The sequence below is a fragment of the Homo sapiens genome, chromosome 5, assembly GCF_000001405.40.
Source record: "Homo sapiens chromosome 5, GRCh38.p14 Primary Assembly".
Classification (NCBI taxonomy): Eukaryota; Metazoa; Chordata; class Mammalia; order Primates; family Hominidae; genus Homo; species Homo sapiens.
This window is the reverse complement of record NC_000005.10, coordinates 78000126-78022768: the sequence shown is the minus strand read 5'-3', so window position 1 is coordinate 78022768 and position 22643 is coordinate 78000126. Positions and strand designations below refer to the sequence as shown.

General features: G+C 34.6%; 1 protein-coding gene across 2 annotated transcripts in view, besides 2 other annotated features; it reads left to right on the top strand.

Annotated features, from left to right (window-relative positions):
• Nucleotides 1–22247, top strand: part of AP3B1 (adaptor related protein complex 3 subunit beta 1) — a 294177-nt gene extending 271930 nt beyond the window's left edge. The window contains exons 25-27 of one of the 2 annotated variants that reach the window (NM_001271769.2): nt 1980–2077; nt 7221–7359; nt 19714–22247. In NM_001271769.2, coding sequence (NP_001258698.1) covers nt 1980–2077; nt 7221–7359; nt 19714–19867 — 391 coding nt within the window. In that variant the 3' untranslated portion in view covers nt 19868–22247. The remainder of the gene's footprint in view (nt 1–1979; nt 2078–7220; nt 7360–19713) is intronic. The other variant, NM_003664.5, reaches the window with a different exon arrangement.
• Nucleotides 4254–5193: an enhancer, noted in NCBI's record as "OCT4-NANOG hESC enhancer chr5:77313400-77314339 (GRCh37/hg19 assembly coordinates)". NCBI's record gives its function as "activates a minimal SCP1, AML or CMV promoter by ChIP-STARR-seq in naive H9 embryonic stem cells {active_cell/tissue: H9 hESC(naive)}" and the evidence as "EXISTENCE:reporter gene assay evidence [ECO:0000049][PMID:30033119]".
• Nucleotides 5194–6134: an enhancer, noted in NCBI's record as "OCT4-NANOG hESC enhancer chr5:77312459-77313399 (GRCh37/hg19 assembly coordinates)". NCBI's record gives its function as "activates a minimal SCP1, AML or CMV promoter by ChIP-STARR-seq in naive H9 embryonic stem cells {active_cell/tissue: H9 hESC(naive)}" and the evidence as "EXISTENCE:reporter gene assay evidence [ECO:0000049][PMID:30033119]".

Here is a 22643-nt window from a genome sequence, read left to right as displayed (position 1 = left end):
GATGTATCTGCCTTTGATTTCTCCCTTACTCCACCTTACATACTGCCACTGGAGTTTCTAAAACATAAATGGGACCATTTACCTTCCTATGCCAAAAATCTCTAGTAGTTTCCCATTGCTTCAAGAAACACTGAAACACCTTTGTCTTAGTTATATAAGTAAAGTAACCATATGCTTTATCACACATATCAGGACACTTTAGAGAGTGAAAGGAGGCACCAGCTGGACAGGATTCCACAACAACAGCCATAAACTGGGACTATTCCTGGGAGGACTGGGATGAATGGTCATACTATATATGATACTCTGCAATGTTCCCCCAACCTCTTCTGTTGACATATTAGGCTGCTCATCATTCCCAAAGTACAGGCCTAGAATGCCCTCTTTCTCCTCTTGGAAGTAAACTTAGCCTTCATTCCTGCAGAATGCTTTCCACATACCTAAGGTAGTGCCTGCCATTCCATTATAAGTGTAATTTCTTTCCCTCCCGCTAGACTTGTGAGCTTCAAGGGCCAATCTCACTTGGCTTTAAATCCCCAGATATTCACACACTACATAGGATCAAGGTTGTATTCAGTGTTTATTGAATTGATAAATAAATTGGATTTATTGGTTTGCCTTCAACAATCCACATATGGAAAAAATATAAGGCCACTTACAAGAATACAATACATAATAGCATAAAATAAAAGTCGATTTTATGTTCTTTTTTTATATTATGTCATTTGTCTGTACCCACACATGAATAAATTCAAGTGTTTCTTAACCTAATGTTTAGTATTTCTTATCCACAATCCCTGTTTCTCTAGCTACCATCTCACAGGCTGTGGGATCCAGTTCTAACATGAAGGTAGAAGTCCCTCTATGGGACTTCCTGAAAGCTTTTGCTTTTGTAATAAAAAGGAACAGATTTGGTTGACATAGTTACTCAACACTCTCTCATCACCACCCTTCCTTCAATGGAATGTAAACTAGGTACCTGGAGATACAGCAGCCATGTGGCAACCATGAGGATGAAAGCCAACATAGTAAGGATGGCAGAGGGAAAGCTAGAGGAATCTGGGCCTCTAAAGGGTTTTTTAAGCCACTGAATGAGCCTGTGACTGGTAACTCTAAGACTTCTTGTATTATAAACGATCAATGCCTTTTTCTCAAAAAACTGTTAGTCGGATTTTCTGCTTATTTGCCATCAAACACACTACTATCATTTAGGATACACTCATCAACCTACCCCTAAACATCTAACTTTAAAAAATTTTTTAGACAATTTTAGTATTTTTTATTGATCATAATATCATGAGACTTAGGTAAATGCACTTATTGTTTTTCTATCTGATATTAGAACAAACAAGGTTGGCTTTCTTAAATTCTTCATATCCTGTCATTTGAAATAATAACTTTTACCATGTTGGTCAATAATGTCAATGAATAGCACTGCTAGCAAATAAGGGCTTTTTTTTTATTTTAGGAAAGCAAGTTTGCAGATGAGATATTACTTTATTAGCACCTATCTAAACACAATATGGTCACTCTATTTTCTTCTTCATTTAAAACTAATATTTTTAAAAAGATATCTTAACTGTTTCAGACTAAAGCATTTCATCTTCTATACTTTAAGATGTATGCAAACTAGAGATAAAATATTACTTCTCTATAAGCTGCATGAAGTGTTTCTCTTGGTGGTAGTGGTTATATACAATTACTGCAATTTTTTAAAGTTCTTTTTCAAATGGGATAATTTACTATACCTGTGTAGTTTTGTTTTTTAAAAAATCTTGATTGAGATAACAGATGTATTTTTCTGCAAGTAATGTTGTTTGTTTGGGAAAATGTTTAAACCTTTTTAGCTGTGATGTTTAAACCAAAAAGGTCTTATACTGTATATGCTAGCATAGGCTTTCATTGCATTGATTTAACTACTTAGTATTAAGAATGTTTATTTATGAAGCATTTAGTCAGCTTTGATTGTTTTTCTTCAGTACCAAGGATGATTGCTTCAATGTTAATATTCAGCCACCTGTTGGAGAACTGCTTTTACCTGTGGCCATGTCAGAGAAAGATTTTAAGAAAGAGCAAGGTGAGAGATGTCTACAACTTACTAGAAATTTACATACCAAATAATATGTGCTTATTCCTGTACAGTCTCTAAAATAAATTTTCATAGGTACATAGCCATTAACAGATATTAGTGCACAATCTTCCAATTTTTGTTAATGCTTTGCACTTACAACCTTAAAAACAGATGTTTGTCTATATTCCTGGCATACTTGAAAATTGATTAATATGTCTTTAAATGATACATTAATTCTTAATCACCTTTTCAATGCTGAGAGTTGTTGCTTGTCAACCTGATGATATACTAATGGGTTTTGTATTATTCAAAGTGCCAGGAATTGGGGACTTTACCGATGTCCTACCACTATAATTGTTATGTTTCTGTATTTTTTCACTATAGAACTGTTTTTTTATGTCTTACTAATGTATTTGTCCCTGCACACATTAAACTACCTTATCCTTCAAAATAAACTCCTAATTATGGCATTAAAATACTTCTAGTTTCTTTTGACCTAATTCTATATTAAAGAAATGCTGTGTTGTCAGAACCTATTAGAACTGAAACATTTTTAAAATAAGTACTTAAAAAGAAAATATTTTCAGCAAAATGCAAGTATTAATATCTGTAGTTGGCCCAGAGTCAAACATACCTTCTAATAAAAACGAGGTGGTTTTTTTTCGTATGTGAATAAGGGGAGATAACTGTCTGATTTTATGTGTTTAATTAACGATAACATTTATAAAATTAAGGCATATTTAAATGCTATAGTCAGCAGTTTTTACAACTTTATGTGAATCTAAGCCATTTTTTCCTGTGGAGGGTGTTATCAAAGATCCCTTCATTTTGAGGTAGTAAATCATACCCATCAAACTTCCAGAACGTACTAGGCACACACAAATACCTACACCTAAGAAGAGGGGCACGCTTCCTGGCACTCTGCTATTGTGCTGAAGATACTGTTTTTACTCTAAGCCTTTGCAATTCACAATGTCAAAAAGAAAATCTCATACAAGTCCATAAATTAATAGTAATATTTTTGCTGGGCATTATTTAAGCAATAAAAAAGAACGATGAAATCTTTCTTTGGATTTGCATTTCTTGGAAAGTTGATTATTGCTATAGAGGAAAATTATCTTTGTGATTTTATTTTTCTATTGACAAATTGAATTGATTCTTATATTTGCTATTCTTACCCTTTGCTGGCTAAAGCCTGCCTCTCTGCTTTACATCTGCTCAGCAAACCAAGGTGAGTGGCACACGGTGACTGAATAAGGCTTTGGCACATTTATTGTTAAGGGGATATTCTTTTTTTGAAAAGTGCAGCTAAAGTATATCTGAAGCAGCAGATTATTATATACCCTTTCACTCCCTCAGCTTTTGGTTAGAATACTTAATATTTCGATCAAATTTTTTGTGCTCTGCTGTGACTGAGGGATTTTTCGCTGACTAGCCATACAGAACCTTAAGTGCATGAGAGAGGTGCACTTGGAGAATAGCTGTGGTCCTCTGTGGAGTTGTTGCCAAAATTCCTTTTTCTTCTGCCATTTTACTTCTATGGTTGTTGATTATTTGTCTGAATAAATCTGGCAGCTGTTTGCTATGTTTAATAGAGCAGAAAGGCTACTCTGAATAAAGCTATTTGAAAATTTGTTTATATGAAGTATTTGTAAATCCTTGCAAGTCTCTTGGCATTTCTGTATCATTCTTTCTGTCTTCCTGAATTCATTCTTTGATGTGGAACTTGATGCTGGCAAATTTAGCACAGGTTTAAAGAGTCTTTTCAATAGCATCTTTTTAGTTATAGATTTCAGCAGGTTTGGTAATAGAGGTCTCAATCCTCAACTTTACACATGTATTTGTTATACTACTCTAGTAAGAGCTTAGCTTATTTCCACAAAAGATACCTAGAAATCTCTCACTAACGGAAAAGCCTAAATCAGAATAAAAATCCGTTTCCTCAGATTTTATCAATGCAAAATTCTGGAAGGTAAAATGCAAGTAAATTTAAGGGGTGTGTGTGTGTGTGTGTGTGTGTGTGTGTTACACCAGCTTTAACCGATTTTTCTACCTTGAATAAAGTGGATTTACATAATTAATATCTTATTTCATATGACACATTTTAAAACTCAAGAAGTATGTTAAATGTGTTAATTAAATTTAACTGAAAAAATTATAAATAAGGAACATGGGGAATATGGTTCTATTTTCATTCTAAAGATATACGTAACTGAAAAGTGTACAGTATTAAATAAAAGTGGTTCTAACAGAGTATTACATTTTAGATTAATATTTTTTAAAACAAAAGTTTTATTTCTAATATGCAACATGATCTATCACTTTTTCTCAGTTGTGTTTAGGGTTTCATGGCTAAACTTTTTTATATATATATAATAAGATTGGTAGTCAAAGTGGTAAATGAAAGATTAGATTATTCTACGTATTGACGGTTATGTATATAAGCCTCCATCAGAAGCATGATTTATTCATTGCTATGAGTTTCAAGCATTGCAGAATTAGTTAATGATCTAGCTGTGAGATGCTTTCAATAAGAAAATAACATGGGATCTATTTTTTACTTAAAAATATTTAATTTGGTTTCTTCACGCAGTTTTAATTTCAAGAGTACGTGTTCCGAGATAACTCCTCTTATTCATTTTCTTCTTGTGAATTAAATTGCAAATGTAAAACTTAGAATTTTTTTTGAATTTTTATTCATTTTCTTCTTGTGAATTAAATTACAAATCTAAAACTTAGAAATTTTTCTGAATTTTTTTATGTTATTTGGTTTGCCTTTTAGTAGTTAATTACAGCTGATTAGCCTAAAGTAAGTGCTATCTACTGCCTTCACCAAAATTTAGATAGATTCTAATAAAGCCACAAATTATTTAGCCTACAGTTTTTAAATATTTTCCCAGTGATTTTACCTTTATTATATATGAACAGGCTCTACAGTGTTTTAAAGTATTATTTTTTAGGAGGAACTTTTAATGAAACCTTTGCCTATTTTTCTTTCCTGTTAATTTGAGAATACCTGATATAGTTTCATTTAGAAAAATCTCTGGTTTAAGAAACCTAAAATGTTTACTTAATTTTATTATGATTTATGCATCTATCTTATGAGTTCCTAGCTAGCAAGATGCTAATTCTTTAAATGGTCAGACATTTACTATTTTCTGGCCCTTAACTACCATAAGCAATCATATTTGATGCCCCTTAATTAGAGCACCTTTTTTTCTTTCCAGGTTCTTTTTCCACCTCAGCAATCGAGACAATACATTTGCTTACCATGCTGCTCTCCTAAGTGTTCTTTTGCATGTAAATTAATCTTGATTCAGTTTACACTGTCATGCTGAGTGGTACAAATTGCCTATAACAATAAAACAGCATGAGTTAAAAATAAAGGGGGGTGGGAAGGCAGATTGAATGTGTGCCTTGATAGGATGTTACTTTGCTTTATGCCAATACATTAGCTGACGATAATGAATCTTCTGTTCTGAAAAGCATGGTTTAGTTGATTTTTTTAATTTTACTTCAATGGAGCAGTACCTTGTCTTTTATAGAACAAGTTAGACAAACCATTAATGACAAGAGTGTTAAGGTTAAATATGAAGCAATGCATTCACTTCTCTGAGTGCTATCCATCTTTCCATTTACAGGAGCTTGACAAAAGTACTGGCTTTGTACAACATTTCCTTTAATTACATGCTGCGGGAAACAGGCTTTTAACATAAACATAGTTGCATTCATTTATTCAGCAGTTGCTCTTCAATAGAGCTTAATGGAGAAGGTTTAAATCCTAAATGAGTACACACATCTCTCAGCAGTGTTATGTCAGCCACTGTGCTTTACTTAAAAGCAGTGTTTGACTGTTTGTATAGTTTTTAAAGCTTTTGCCTAATATTGAAGTTAAACGGTCTAAGACAGAACATAGTGTTCCCAGAGTTTGAAAGTGGTTAGTGAAAAATGCTTGTTGTTAGAAGCTAGATAGTTCTATTTTCTAACTGACGGCAAAAGTCTTTTCACAATGTTAGGCTTTAGTGTTTTCATACTGTTAATCGTAGGGATTCTTTTAAATTTTAGTTTTCATTTGCAATAAATAACTAAATTAAATATATATGCCAGACGGTGCAGAGTCTTTTGAAAACATGAAATCAGATTTTTACTATTTTCATCAATTTTGTAAACTACTGTGCACATATCAAATATCTCAAAGAGTTATTGGTTCTAATAGATAACCATTAGATGTCTATGACTTATATCACCGATCCAAATAGATGGCATTTGTTGTAATTAATTTGTTTTTTAACCCGGGCACTAAATTTCAGTATTTGTTCCAAGTGTTTGGTATGTTGTTGAATTTGTTCACTGAACATTTTTACAGGAGGTCTGGATATTAATGGCATGTCTTGCATTAACTCTGTATGGTTTTTTTCATGCTTTTGCTTAACTTAATTTCTCTCCTAAATATTATTTGAAATGTCCCTGGGATTTAAGAGTTTTCATTCTCATTTTTTCTTTCATTTTCAAAGTTTTTGCTTCAGGAGTTTCAATTAGTGTTTTTGTCAGCAAAACACTTTCCATTCACTAGACAAGTACTTTTAGCTCTAAGTATAGCCTAAATACTTGTGCATTTTCAGTGACTTCCAGTCACTGTTGAGATAACTTCGATCTGTCATACTGAGGCCATTTACCAGGTATTGCTGCTAGTTATCCTGGAATTACTTTGATGTGTTCTCAAGCAGCATTTGGCAATGAGAGATCTTTGAATGAATAGAAAAAAATAGCAATAGTAACAAATACATTTATATATTATTAAGAAGTAAAAGCTTACTAGTTTACATAAACCCCAGATTGAGTATACTTTAAAGAGACTGAAATTGATATTTCATATGTGTGATTCTAAGTTTTTATCCTATCATACTTAAAATTAGATTTAAGTGATTTTTTACTGAATTTTTACACATTTTCCTATACAATGAGGATTTTAAAAAACTTCGAAACAATTGCATTTTGTTTTAGTTTTATAATTATCTTGTAAATTACATCCTAAAGTAGTGTTTCTTTTGTTGAAAAAAAGTTAAAATTTTGGCCATGAGCTTAAAATTCTGTAAATGTAATTTTCAAAAAGAAATTAATAAAAGGGAGCCTTCTTTTGCTTTTACAGGAGTGCTAACAGGAATGAATGAAACTTCTGCTGTAATCATTGCTGCACCACAGAATTTCACTCCCTCTGTGATCTTTCAGAAGGTTGTAAATGTAGCCAATGTAGGTGCAGTCCCTTCTGGCCAGGATAATATACACAGGTAGGTTCACTAACACACGATGTGGAGGTGAAGATGACTTGAATATGTATAAATATATAATTTTAAATTCATTGTTTTCTTTGGAAATAATAACCCCTAAACATATATATATATACACACACTCCCTTTTTTTTCTGATGGTATAGTTGTTGATTGCTTTGCATTAAGGCTGTCTTTCCCATCTCAGAGCATCCTTATCATACTGGCATGGTCTTTCCTGAAAGATATACAGAGCATATTCACATTTTATAATAGCTTGGTAATTTATAAAGTTACCCTTTTTGAGGTGGTTGAGAGTTTATCTTATTTCACCAGATTCAGTAGATGTCCAGGAAGAACTATTCTATAAAGCAGTATAGTTGGACTTTTTTAATTGAAAGGGAGGACGTTTGGGTACTACATACAGATTTCCTTTTGATAGCCATCCCCTGAGACTGCTTCCAGTAAATAAAGAGCTGCTAGATGACCAACATGGGGGTAAATACAGCTTCTGTTTCTTAGACCAGTAATATTTTCTATCACCAAGCATCTGAAATATGAGATCCAAGTTATTTGTCCTGAAAGGCAGCAGAAAATGTGATTAATGTTTGCCCTCTTGTATTTTTATGAATTCCAGTGGCTTTAAATGAATGTAAAGATAAAAATAATTATCTCTTATCCATTTGGTGATTGCACAGTCCTCTGTGAGCTTAAGGGAATTCGTTGCAAACCATCTCATGGCAGGCATACTTCTGCCATTAAAAATATCTACACACTGTATATTTAGTGTGCCCTTTCTTATATAATTATCAATCATAGAAAACAAATTTAGCATCAAAGGGAAGGCCTGCAGACCTTAAAAAACATTTTTTTAAGTTAACACAGGAGCAAGAGAGGCCCCATATGAAAAATGCTACAGGTGATTTGGGTTTTAGATCTAACTCTGCCACTAATGGGCTTGGTAATCTTGGGGAAGTTATAACTTCTTATGTGCTTTACATTCCTTATGTGTTTGGAAATGGGTGGCAGGAAGAAAAAGTGAGGTAGGATTGAAATGAAATTCTGTGATAGCTATGAAAGAACATTAGATTTGACTTCAGAAGAGCTGACCTGCCATTACTGTATCCGTAGTTGCCTAACTTCACTGTACTAATCACGGCGGAATAAAAACTGCATGTACTAGTTGAAAAATAGATTTACCTTGTACTGTTTTTTTTTTTTTTAAGTTGCTCAAGAGGTCTCATGCTTTCATTTCTTTTTTGTTGTTGTTGAGACAGTCTTACTCTGTCACCCAGGCTGGAGCGCAGTGGCGCGATCTCGGCTCACTGCAAGCTCCGCCTCCCGGGTTCACGCCATTCTCCTGCCTCAGCCTCCCGAGTGGCTGGGACTACAGGCACCCGGCACCACGCCCGGCTAATTTTTTGTATTTTTAGTAGAGACGGGGTTTCACTGTGTTAGCCAGGATGGTCTCGATCTCCTGACCTCATGATCCACCCGTCTCGGCCTCCCAAAGTGCTGGGATTACAGGCATGAGCCACCGCGCCCGGTGTCTTTCATTTCTTAGTTTTTGACAAGCTCTATCTATCTCACATAGGATGGTGATAAAATAAGAAAATGGATGTAAGGTCATGATACAGACCACCACAAAAATACAACTTATTTATCAGTTAATGTTGTTCAATAGGGAAAAGAGTAACAAAAGCCTTTTCAGTGAAAATAAATATTTTGAGTTTTCCTGTTTTAATTTTATTCTGCTTTAAATACTTCTTTTCACTTTCCTAGGTAATTTTCTCTAACAGAAACTGTTTTGTTTTATTTATGGGTCCTTGGAATTATTGAATTTACTAAAACACCAAAATGCTGTATTATCAAGTATAACTTCTTCAGTATGAAATTTTACCTGAAACACCTAGTATCCAGCAATACTGCAGTCTTGTTTTAATATAGAGTAGCCACTGTTTATGCTGGAACATCTAGTTTAGTTTTGTTTTGTGTATAGGTTGTTTTGGGTTTCTTTTTTTTGTTAACTTTTCTGAAAGCAATGGCAGCTGTCTAGATTTTTGTTTCTTAGAAGAAAAAATGTCAAGGCTGGGCAAGGTGGCTTACATCTGTCATCCCAGTACTTTGGGAGGCTAAAGTGGGTAGATCTCTTGAGCCCAGGAGTTCAAGACCAGACTGGGCAACATAGGGAGACCCTGTCTCTACAAAAAATATAAAATTAAATCCGGCATGGTGGCACATGCCTGTAGTCCCAGTTACTTGGGAAGCTGAGGTAGGAGGATCGCCTGAGCCCATGGAGGTCAAGGCTGTAGTGAGCTGTGATCACACCATTGCACTCCAGCCTGGGTGACAGAGTGAGACCCTGTCTCAAAAAAAGAGAAAAGAAAGAAGAAAAGTGAAGTTACAAAGCCACATAAAATGAAAGCTATCTTCCTATTGGGAGATAGACTTAGAGGGACCCTTAGCACAGTTGTATAATTCTTATTAAAGATAGTTTGCCAGTAACTTGTCTTGCTGGTTTGGAATGTAATACCTGTAATACCTGCTCAAATGATTTAAATTAAAATTACAATCAATTCTCAATTGTCCATGCTAATACAGAGGAGACACACAACTAAGAACCATTTATATTTGACTTTGGAGTGCAGAGATTGAACCCAAAACTTAATGTTCGTGGTCCTCATACTCATCCACAGTGTCTTGAGGCTTTTCTGTTCTAGCCGTATCATCAGTGGCCTGGTGTTTGGCTCTGTAACCTGGGGGAGGGCCCAAGTTACTACAGGGTCAAAAGTCAATAAAATACCTGTAGATACTTAAGAATAGCCTGTGCTGTCTTAACTTGCTTCTCAAGTCCCATCATACTGAATTGAAAAATATTTCATATTTGCTTTTATAGCTAAAGTATGACTGTAATAATGTTCTAAATTTTAGAAAGCTTCCAGGTAACAAACACCTAAAGTTATTTTTATTTTTTATACAGATATTGACATAAATTATTATCCTGTGTATGTAACACTTTTTCTCATTCTTTTTGCTAATAGCAATTAAAACAAAAATAAACAATTGTTAATAAAACGTACTTTTGTACTTTTTTTTTGCTTTTCTTAATTTCATTTAAAATGAAATAGGAATTAGTGTTTACATTATAATAATATAAATTAACTGTTTACCACTTTATTGAAATAAATGTTTTTAACTATAGTGTTCCATATTATATTACCCTACTCCATGGAATTAATACATTTCTATATCTAAGTTTATATATTATTTAATTGCTAATGATAAAATTGAAATCCCTATGAGATTTTGAATGATTCCCTTATTCTTTTGTGATAGTTACGTTTTTGAGTTTATAAAGAGTAGGACCAAAGCCACTCTAATATTTATTAATGGTAATCAGTTTGGGATTATTTTTAAAAACACCAAGTATGAAAAGCATTTTTACTACTAGTATTTTAAGAGATTAAAATTTTCAATATGATAAGTTACTCTTGGCTGGCTTATGTTCTATTTAATTTTTCAGGATCTTTTCTTTCTGAGAGGACTTTTAATAAGAATTAGTGTATTCGTTCTAACCCTTTAATGAATAGAGTTTCCATTGCCTAATTTTGGAATACTTTATTTCTACTACTCTTCAAATTTTATACATTTTTACATTAAATGCCAGGTAAAGAAATACTTAGTGTAAGAATTATCTAAGGAAAAGTGAACCTTTATTAATGTGGAGTAGTATGTAATGGTATAAAGTACAGATTTTAATTGAACACTTAATAGAAAATGATTCCTAACACAGCAACAGAAAATGGCCCTCATTAAGAAAAGCCAATTAAAGGCGCACAGGTTTTATGAAATACACTTCAAAAACCAGAGACATTTTTTATTTCGTTAACACTTTTAAAGATCAATTGAGAAAGCAGCTCTACTGTTAGATTATATGATTTTTAGTTGTAATTTTCTAAATGAGTGATAGGATCAGAGCCAAACAGTATACTATTGAGAGACTCAACTTTATCTTCATTTCTGTCGTACTTACTTGAAAAACCTGCTCTTGGAGAACAAAATCATCTTATTGAGATATACAGAGTGGCCGGGCATGGTGGCTCATGCCCGTAATCCCAGCACTTTGGGAGGCCAAGGCAGGCAGATCACTTGAGGTCAGGAGTTCAAGACCAGCCTGGCCAACATGGTGAAACCCCGTCTCTACTAAATATACAAAAAAAAGTAGCCAGGCTTGGTGGCAGGCGCCTGTAATCCCAGCTACTTGGGAGGCTGAGACAGGAGAATTGCTTGAACCCAGGAGGGAGAGGTTGCAGTGAGCCAAGATGGTCCACTGCACTCCATCCTGGGCAACAGAGGGAGACTCCATCTCAAAAAAAAAAAAAAAAAAAAGAGAGATACAGAATTATGGTCATTGCGTCAATCTGCTGTTTTCCAAATTACAGTTAACGCATGATAAGGAGTATTACAAAAATGAGAAGTTCCATCATCATCAAAAAGCATTTATTAAATATGTAGCTGAATATCTTCACTTCCTGTGTAAGATATTCAAATTTATTTTAATGAGATATACATTGTGAAGGTCTTAATGCATATTACTTAAGACAATACTAGTAAACTAATACATAAATAAAGTGTATCCCAAGGGCAAAATGGACAGCATTAAACCAGTATATGAATGGACTGCAAAGGTGAAAGGGCAAGACCTCATGTGTTCGAAGGTAGGAGATTAGAGGCGTTAGCTGTGGGGATCCCAGTTTCATTCAGGGCCAGGAAAACTTTCATGTGATTCTCTGTGAAATATCCAGGAAGGGTTTAGGAAGGAGGTTTGTGTTCAATGTCGTGGAAACTGAGGTGCCTTGCTTTTGTTACATTGCATGTCCTCTGATAACAGCACTTATGAGTAAGTGCAGTGGCCAAAAAGCAGAAAACAAAAAACATGTAGCTCCGAAATCGCTAAGGTTTTTCTGTACAAAAAAATCATGTGTGAGTTTGTGTAAAACTCAGATTTCTGGAACCCACCCCAAAAACTCAGCTTCAGTAAATCTGAGAAAGAGCCCAGGAATCTCTATTTTAGGCAGCACTCCAAGTGGTTGGAAGGCAAATGTTCCGAAGTCCACAGTTTGAGGCTGCCTGGAATTATCAAGCTGTAATGCCACATGACACATTTCAAAATATTTTTTCCTATGTTTATATGTTTTATTTTTTACTGATTAGTCAGTAAGGGATGCCAGTAGATGAGATGTTTGGTTTAATTTTTCTTACACATATCCCAGAGTGCTCCAGCAAGACAGTGTATTGTCCATTACGGGAGTACATTAGAGCAGTGTCTATAAAACAGTCTTAGACCATAACTGTGTATGTCTTTCAGCAGTCTCAGCCATCTCACATTTTCACCCATAGTCAGAAATCCTGACATTTGTATACAATAATATTGTTGAAAAAGTTGTCACACTTACCTACTCATTTTGCCTTTTCATGAACCGCAAATTAACCCTCTGAGGAGAAAAGGTGATATTTGATTGAAGACAGAACATCCTGTCTCTGCCATGATTCTATTTTAGTTCTTAGCTTATTCAGTAAGATTCTGGAGCAACTTTCATTATTAACTTGTATTCACTACTGATATTCCTTCCCCTCTCCCCCTCCCCCACCCCCCCGTATATCTTAATTAGTAATTTGGATTTTGTTTATCCTGTCACTTTTTAAATTTGCAAGCTTTTACCATATGCAACTTGTGGATAATTACAATCCTAGTCGAATAAATGTTGGTTTACTGTTGTCACTAGGTCCTTAACTATTAGGAAAGTCTGGTGCTGTGAGTGAAACAGTGTATCCATTGGCAACCAAGTAGTCAACTTTTTAATTTATCAACACACATAAAGACAGTTTATTTCAGGTTTAAAATAAAAGTCTTATTATTTAATTCAAGTACAGGTAAAGAACAACTTGTTTCATTTCTTTTTTTTTTTCTTTTAAGACAGGGTCTCACTCTGTTGCCCAGGCTAGAGTGCAGTGGCACAGTTGTAGCTCACTGCAACCTTGAACTGGGCCCAGGCAATCGTCTTGTCTCAGCCTCCTGAGTAGCTAGGACTACAAGTGCATGCCACCATGCCCAGCTAATTTTTTTTTTTTTTTTTTTGTAGAGACAGGGTGTCCCTATGTTGCCCAGGCTGGTCTTGAACTCCTGGGCTCAAGCAGTCCTCCCACTTTGGTTTCCCAAAGTGTTGGGATTACAAGCATGCGCCACTGTGCCTGGCCAACTTGTTCCATATCTAGGCCTTAAACTCACCCAGTTAATCACTGTTATTGCATACCTGTTTGAAGGTTGTTAATAGGGGAAATACTGGTACACATTATTTTTGGTATCCTAAAAAGATCTATAATGTGTAGCTCCTTCACTTAGTATTTTTTTGGAGACCTTTGTGACAGATTTTGCTGGTGCTAGGGTTGCAAACACAAATGGCAAAGACACTTCTTGATGGGGTCTCTAATATTTCCCTTTCTCTATTCTTAGTTTGATTAACTTTTGAGTTACTGTTTTTGTTTGTTAGTTGTTTTCTTCTCTGTTGGTAACTATATGGGATTTGAATTCTGGGTAATTTTGGAGAATTTGTAATTCTCCAAAGAATTTTTGCTTTTCAAATAACATTGGACATCTTGTTGCCCTAATTGTATAAGCCCTGATACTACTGTCAACCTTCTTCATTGTATAAACAGAAACAAAATTTTGTATAAATAGTTTTAAGTATAAAACTATCAGGCTCAGGTCTTTTCTACAATATGACAAATTTTGAGTCTCAAACAGGACTGAAGATTTGTAGAACCTCTTTAGTAATCAAAACAGTTCTTTCTCAGGTTGGTGGCTGTCCACTAGAGGACAGCACTGCATTTTTATCTGACTGCTTTGAACTCTGCAGGCCCTGAGCATCAGTTCATTGACAAACAAATGCGGACCTCAGTTAATTTTCACACAGAAAGCATATTTGGATATTTCAGAAGTAACCAAACTGCACAGCTGATTTTTACTTTAAAACATTCTCTATTTAAGTTTTATTTAAGTTCACCATTTAATGTCCTCTAATGCAACAATTTTACTAATGGGAATCTGTAACTGTTTCACGTAAAAATGAAAGAAAGGTATTCTTGATGCTTTTCCTTCTGGTTTGACAATTTTGTAAGGAATCAAAGAGAATGGGGTAAGAATGTATTTGTTTTACTATTAGTTTTCCCTTGTTAACCCCATCTCACCCCACCCCCACCAGACAAACCAGAAATGCTCTGAAATAACTGGGATGTTTTATGTCTTCTTTAAGCAAGGGCACTTAGATTTTTTAGCTTTCCTATATAAAGAAAGAGAATGCATCATTGGCCTGATAGTGTGGGGAATAATTTTTTTATACCATCTCTGAAGATTAGAGTAGGAACTAGAGAGTCCTAAATTATGGTGGTTGTTTATTTTTTATTTTAACTTTTCTCATTTGAACGTTAGAGGAAAATACTACAATATTGTTAGGTGATTTTTTAAATAACTGGGAAAAATACATTGCTTTGTGTAAATTCTCTAAAACTAAATCACGTGTAAATGCTTTTTTTGTCCTTCACTATTAATTCAATAGTGTAATGGTTTAACTTTAAAATGCAATTTTATAGTCAACAAAATAGAATTTTTTACAACTTACAAATTCTCTGCCTGTTTAAAATGTTCTACTATAATAACTCAAGGTAATAAAGATTTATAATTTTAAATCCTTTGGCAGATAGCGCTCCAAATCACTATACTTTGGTATTGATGTTTAGGAGGCTTATTCCAACCAGTATTTCTTACATATAATGATCGTGCGACTTCATTACACATTTGTCAACTTTGGACTAATTATTTTTATACAGCTAGGGCAGGGCACTGCATCTTGTGATCGTCTTTCTTACTAATAGGATTCTGTCTGCTTCAGCAGGCAGTAATTGAAGGCTTCATGTACAGAGTACAAAAAAAAAAAAGTTTTAGCCTGAGTGGGTCATTGTCACAGCTTCTGGTAACCAGTAGAACAGAAAGCACAAGAAAATTGAACTCAGAATAGAAAAATCAGAAACCAGGAAGACTATCCAAGAGAAGAAAAAGCATGTCTTAGAGCTGTTGCATTAAGTATAGCAAATCTGATTCTGTGTAAAAAATGTTATGTTTGTGACTACCCTGGAGACTGACGCAGCCTCTCAGATAAATACTTTTAAATTCATGCTGTACCGTTAATGTTAATTGTTAGAACAATTGAATTATAGGATTTCTTTTCCTTCTAACAAAGAACATGTATGATTTATAGCCAGTTTGTTACAAATCTTAAAAAGTATAGTTTAAGTGCATGGAGAATAAATCTGTGTATTATAGATATTAGATTTTTTTCAAATTTGTTGTTGCTATTTGGTCTGTTTTTATAATTATGACTATAGTTAAGACAAAATAACTTTTTAAGAAGAATGAAACTTTTTTTTATTTAGCTTTGACAACCAGCTTATTCTGTCTTTTTCGTAAATCTTAAGAATTCCTATAGGCTTCAAAGATTAAATGTCAATTGCTGGAGATAATAGACAAAGACATTTAATAAGATGAAATACAGATATAGCCAAACAGTTTTACCTTCTCAGTTGGTGATTACAAACAGCAAGTGGTTGGTGATAGAATGAAATGAAAAATATCTAGATGGTGTCCTTTTAATAACATGGAGCCCGTCATACACAGGCAATACATCTTTAACTGTCATCGCACTTATTTGTTCTCATTTGTGGTGTTACTGCTTTTCGAGGTTGATTGGTCTCCCCGTAGTCCCTCCCTGTGTTACAGCTCCATTCAAAAAGGCTTTGTATTTTTCATTGCTGGTGTCTCTTTAGGGAGAGGAGAGTAGGGGATATTTAAAATGTTTTAAATCTTTAAAGGCAGAAATGTAAAATATATGAGGAATCAAGTCCGCACGCTTTGAATTACGCATTACTACAAAATCAAGTAAACAATTTTTGAAGAGAGGACTCTTCCTTCTTAATGTTTTTGGAACAATAATAGATTATGTGTATATTAGGTAAATGGGAAAAACTTTATCTGTTGACTGATAAAAACAAATTATTATGGGTGCATTTTTGTATATATGAAGATAATTTGTGTGACCTGGAATCAGAATGCTTGGGTTCAGATTTCTGCTCAACCAGAAATTTGGTGTGTGGCCCTGAGGAAGTTCTTCAACTTCTCTGGGCCTCGCTTGCCTCATCTATAAAGTGACCTGCCTCATAGGATTAAATGAAATAATTCCAGTGAAGCACTTAGAACCCACTGCCAGAACACAGTAAGTGCTTAACAAATGATAGCTGCTATCATCATTATAGTGATCAAAAATTTCTCATGCCTTTTGAAAAAATTTTGTCACAGTGTGATCTTAGTTCAAGGCCAAGCACAGAGGTTCTGATGTCAGCCATTAAGTTTAGTATGTAAATATCTGACCCACGCTGACTTTATAATCAATGTTTCTGACATCCCAAAGCTAGCTATTTATTACTTATGAATTAGTACTCTTTCCATAACTATTTTTTGCATGTATGTTGAAGCATAGCCTGTGCAGGAGTTAAATGATGAATAAATCTGGGGTAGTGGTTTTTGCCTTCCGAGGGCCAAAACAAACCAATTTTGATCATGCTGTGTTCCAATTAAATATATCCTTTCTGAACTGTGAAATGAGAATGTCAGAACATCTGATCTTCTAGTCTTCCGCTTTAAAACATTGCTTCCACCATTTGTGTCCACTAGAACATAGAGACCTAGTTAATAAAGGCAGTAGCTTTTACACCAGCTAGCAGATTATGTTGCTAGGATGATTTGCTTAGTGTGTTTCCATTGCAGCGTAAGCAGATGCCTCTTTTCTTTCATACCCCTATTCTTTATAGTACTGAGACTTTTGTGGCAATAGGATTTCAAAAATATGTCCAAGATACTAATTCTAATTTCTGTCAACATACTGACACCAAAATTGACATTTGTCTCTGCCAACTTTATATTAATTGTAACATTAACTCTAAGTTTTTTAATAGAAAAGAGACAAAATGTGCCTTGGGGCTGTGCCACCCTGAAATTCAAACAACAGTGCTTTTGTGTTCCTATTCAGGCATAATCTCCTTCTCTATGGTCCCAAGGCACAAGTGTTAAGTAAATAAAGGGACTAATAAGACTATTGTTTACATAATTATAACCCTGTCAGAAATAGGGACCTCTGTTGAAATATTTGTTGAGTGAATTACACACGTGATGACCGAATCTGTGGGAAAAGTTGCATAAATGAATGGGAAAATAGAGCCACCTCATATCCTTTGGTGACGTGGTTTTACAGGAATATAGAAACAGCATTCTCCTATGAAGCAGAAGAGCCTGAAAAATTTAGACAAAAGAAATGCATAAACCTGTGAGGAGCCTTAGAAAAGAGAGATCATTTTAGGGCTGGTGATCTTTATGTTTCTCAAAGATGAAATTGAGGTACCTAGTTCATAATCTCTCATGTGTACGTCTGAAAAGCAGATGGATGTGTGTGTTAAGAGGTTTATAAAAACCTCTTTAAAAACATTGGTATGATTTATATTCCTAAACTGGTTACTTACAATTGCTTCTCTCAGTAGGAATACTGCTCTGTCAGATTCCTTGCAAGTTTTCAGCATGCTTGTAGAGTGCACAAGCAAATGCCTAGGAAGATTTTCTAACATATTTTGTTGATAGCCCATTAGCTAACATTTTAAAACACAACTTCAAAGTGTTTATAATATTTGAAATTTAGTAAAATTAGCATATCTGTTTTGGTTTGGATACATTATTCTAATTATTGTTGGACAACCTAGTTCATGATTTTATTTGTCCAAAAATGGCTTGTTTGGTTTTAAAAAAATTAATGTGTTATGAGATCTTGATGTTATTTTTTAAAAAACCCAAAAAAGAAATTACTTTTCATTTAAAGAGAATCTGCTTCCTGCTTAAGTGGCTAATATTTTAATTAAGTCGGGAGTGAAGTTTTTCTGAGTGTCTCCTGATAAACTCCCTCTTTTATGTTGATGGTAATTAAACAGATCCCTGTGGACACCGTGGGCTCTGTGCGAGGCCCATGCTAATTGTCAGACATGAGACACTGACCAGTTGGTTTGCTCTTGAATAGTCCGCAGCGTGCTGTTAGCGCGGCAGTTTTATTTTTATGTATTGTGAGCTGTTGTCAGGGCTAACTGGGTGCCATTGTGGCTGAAGATGTTGCGCAAATTGAGGCAGATGGCTCAGATTCAGACACGTGTCATATAGAAAGGGGCAAGGGGATTGGCCCTGCAAAGTGGGGTCACAGCAGGTCACAGACCTGCTCTACACTTGTTAGTGTTTTCAAAAGCTCATGTGCAGCAACTTTGTTTTTCTCCAGTCATCCCTGCAATCAAACCCCCTCCCCCAAAAAGTGTGTGGAACATGCTTCATGTGGAAAAGGGAGGCTTGGGAGGTTCCTGTCCTCTTCCTTCATGACCCTGAGGCTCAACTGTGCATGCAGAATGAATTAGCAGGATTGACAGAAGTTCGTTATGCCTGCAACGGCTTTTCAGTCAATTGCAGTGCTTAAAAGGCTAGTTTTGCTTTTAGTTCCGTGTAATCAGTAGGTTCTTCATGTCTTGGAATTTAGAGTTAGAGCTTTAGACCTCCAGTTTCCTCTGGAAATGTTTTTGTTTACACTCTACAGAAAGAAAGATCTAATGTCCTAAACATTTCAAAACAAAGAAAAAGGGAAGCGTGAGGTTGCACTTAGCTGTCACGTGATTTTGCTTCATGTCATCATTAACATTAGAGATTTAATTTGAATATTGTTACATGAGTGAATTCATTGAAACTTAGTAAGAATTTTATAATGTACGTAAAATTATCTAACTTATTACATAATCATTTTCAGATATGAGGAGTTAAATTTTGAAGCTCTTTGAGAAAGGTACCTTTTCTTAACATGTTTTAAAAATAAAAATACAATGGCTTATTTAAAATGTCCCTATGCATGGTGAAATGTTAAATACCAAGTGGATGAATGGTTCTCAAATATATTGTAATGGAGAATTATTCACATGCATCTATTGTTTAAACTAATAAGTAAAATAGACTTCCTTTTTCTGTTCTGTTTTAAATGTGCACTAAAATTACCTGCTTGTGGTTAGCATGGGCTGGACAGTTTATTGATTTTTCAGAAGAATGCTTGGCTTTGGGTTTTTGGCAATAGGGAGCCTGCAGCAAATTATTTCATTTGACAAAAAAGAGTTATTTTAATCCTATTTGAATGTATGCTATCTCCTTTACCCTCCCCATCTTATGATAAAAGGTCTCTCTTTTTTCTCTTCCAGGTTTGCAGCTAAAACTGTGCACAGTGGGTCATTGATGCTAGTCACAGTGGAACTGAAGGAAGGCTCTACAGCCCAGCTTATCATAAACACTGAGAAAACTGTGATTGGCTCTGTTCTGCTGCGGGAACTGAAGCCTGTCCTGTCTCAGGGGTAACCTGCTTACATCTGGACTTTAGAATCTGGCACACAACAAAAGTGCCTGGCATCCACTACTGCTGCCTTTCATTTATAATAATAGCCCTTCCATCTGGCAGTGGGGGTAGAATACACTCTTGACATTCTTGTCTCCTGCTTTAGAATGCTAGTGTGTATCTATCATGTATGCAATACTTTCCCCCTTTTTGCTTTGCTAACCAAAGAGCATATATTTTACTGTCAGTTGTCTCAACTCTTGAATCCATGTGGCGTTTTCTCTGTCCTGCTGCTTCTTTTGGCCTCCTCGTTTTCCTTCTCTTTTTCGACAATGGTAGACATGAATGAGATATTTAAAGTTCATTGGAAATCTTCTTCCCTACAGCAGTAAGCAAAAATTAGCAAAGAGATAGTCTAAATGGCCTCTCAGCTTGGTATGTGAAAATGAGATCACATACTTTTTAAATCCAAATACAAAAGCATAGTCTCTGCAAGATTTTGTTCTTTGAATTTCTTGATATTGTAATTGATTATTGATAACTGTCATCATGAAATTATCTCTCAATAATAAGATAAATAAACTAGCATATGAATCATATTTGTCTTTGCATTTTTAATGAGAAACTATTAATAATCCTGAAGTTCATATGCTAAAGTTTTCTTATTTTAAAGCAAGTATTTTGAGTGTTACATTATGCAGAGAAGCAATGTGGTTTAGTTAGCGAAAGAAAAACCACTTCCAAACCAAGTAAATTTTCTACTTATAGTTTACTCCAAGGAAAAAAAATTGGTGTATTTAATAACAAAAACAAAAATCTTCATATTGCAAAATAAACATCTTCTAGGTAGTTTTGATCTATTAGTAGATATCTGATTATGTGGCCTGCTGAATAAATTCTTTGAATCTCATTTTTCCTTATGCCCAACTTTGGAAACTAACTAGCATAAACTTATAGAAATGTTTAAAACTAGTTATATGATCAACCTATTAGCATCTTTTCCTAGAGTATTTGTTTTATTTGCTACCTTAAGTTACTGTTTTCAAGGTTGTTCTATAATCAGAGAACTTTTCTAATACTTTCGTACCTTTTTAAAACCAGCTGAAATTTTACTTCCTTTTTGAAGCAAGGTAATGGACTTTCAGGTAGTATAAGCTACTCAGTTCTTTTTGTATAGAGCCACATACATAATGATTTTTAAAAAGTAAAAAGGAAGTGACTGTACATTGCTTGAAGCATTATAGGAAGGCTGAAAAGAAAAGAATGGAATTTTCTTGGAACATACATATTGAAAAGAACAAAACAGAGTCGAAAAATTATTTAAATTTTCAAGCTGGTGGGATGACAAGAGTAAACAAAATTGTTAAATTTTCCTGCTCCAGAAAGAAATATAGCCCTGAATCTCCGGGAAGAGAATGTACAGAAGTGCAATGTACAGAAGCCACGTGTACATTTTGTGCCAATTCCGTACCATGTGTACATTCTGTACCATTCTGTACCAATGTATGGAAGCCACGAGTTCCACTTCCCTCTGGAGCCTGGGCGCTGTGGTAACACACCCAAAAGCCCCTTTGTAATCGCAGGTCGTTGGCATTTCCATATTAGCCTTATTGCTCAGAGCTTCATAACTTTGAATTTTAAGTCAATAACTTTTTGAAATGTCAGACAGAATTTGACAGGTTTAATACCTGTTTTCTGAGGAAGAAAAAAAAATTATATCCATGCTGTCTTCAGGCAGAGGGAAAGTGCATGTTGTGATTGAGAAAGGTCTTATTTTTCCTTAAATTAGGACACTCATCTTTAAAAGATAGTTCACACATTTGTATTTTTTTAAACTAAGGAAATTTAATTAGGGCTTTACTTTTGACTAAGTTATTTTTGGCTGCTAACTTTTAAAATTATGGTAAATCAATAATATAATGTAGTATGAATCAGTGAACAGTATGTATCGATTGTAATGTGCGCTACCAGTTGAAACCATTTTAACACTAGTAGCTTAATATCATTAAAATGTTTTTCACGTAAAACAGAAAAACGACCAAAGCCCCAAGTTAAAGGTTTGGTTTTTTTTCTTTTGTGGTGTGGTGATTCAGAGTTCCTTGCCTCATATTTCCTTTAACTTTGTCATAATCCATGATTATCTTTAAATTGTTCCATTGAGTCGAGTTAGTCAATGTTGAATTCTTAATTCTAGCTATATTTTTTCATTTTAATGTTCACTTAATGGGACATTTTATGTACACCAATCTTGAAGAATGGCTCTCATAGTATATTTCAGACTAAGCCTCATTTTTGATATCACAATACATTTGCTTTATTTATTATGAGAGTTTTTTTATTCTAAAGAGACTGTAACAATGCATTTCTCAAATTAAAATACTGTATACTTGTCCTTCTCGATAACTATTTGCAAACGTATGAATAACTTTATAGCTTACAAAACGTTTGCCCTTATAACCTGTGTTCCCGTTGTTAAGAATTTAGATGTTAGACAAGATAAGAATCCAGACTGATGGAAGATTTCAAAAAAAGAAAAGTTGGACCAGCTAAAAGAGAACCTAAGATCTTTCCCCTGACTTGTTCCCTCTCTGTTGTCTCTCTGACCTTCTAGGGAACTTTGTTTAAAGGGAGAAAGGAATCCTGTTTTCACAAAATGAGAGAGAAAAAAAGAGCACTATGTTTGCCAGCTGTGGTGGCTCATTCCTGTAATCCCAGCGCTTTGGGAGGCCGAAGTGGGAAGATTACTTGAGGACAGGAGTTCAAGACCAGCCTGGGCAACAGAGCAAGACCCTGTCTCTA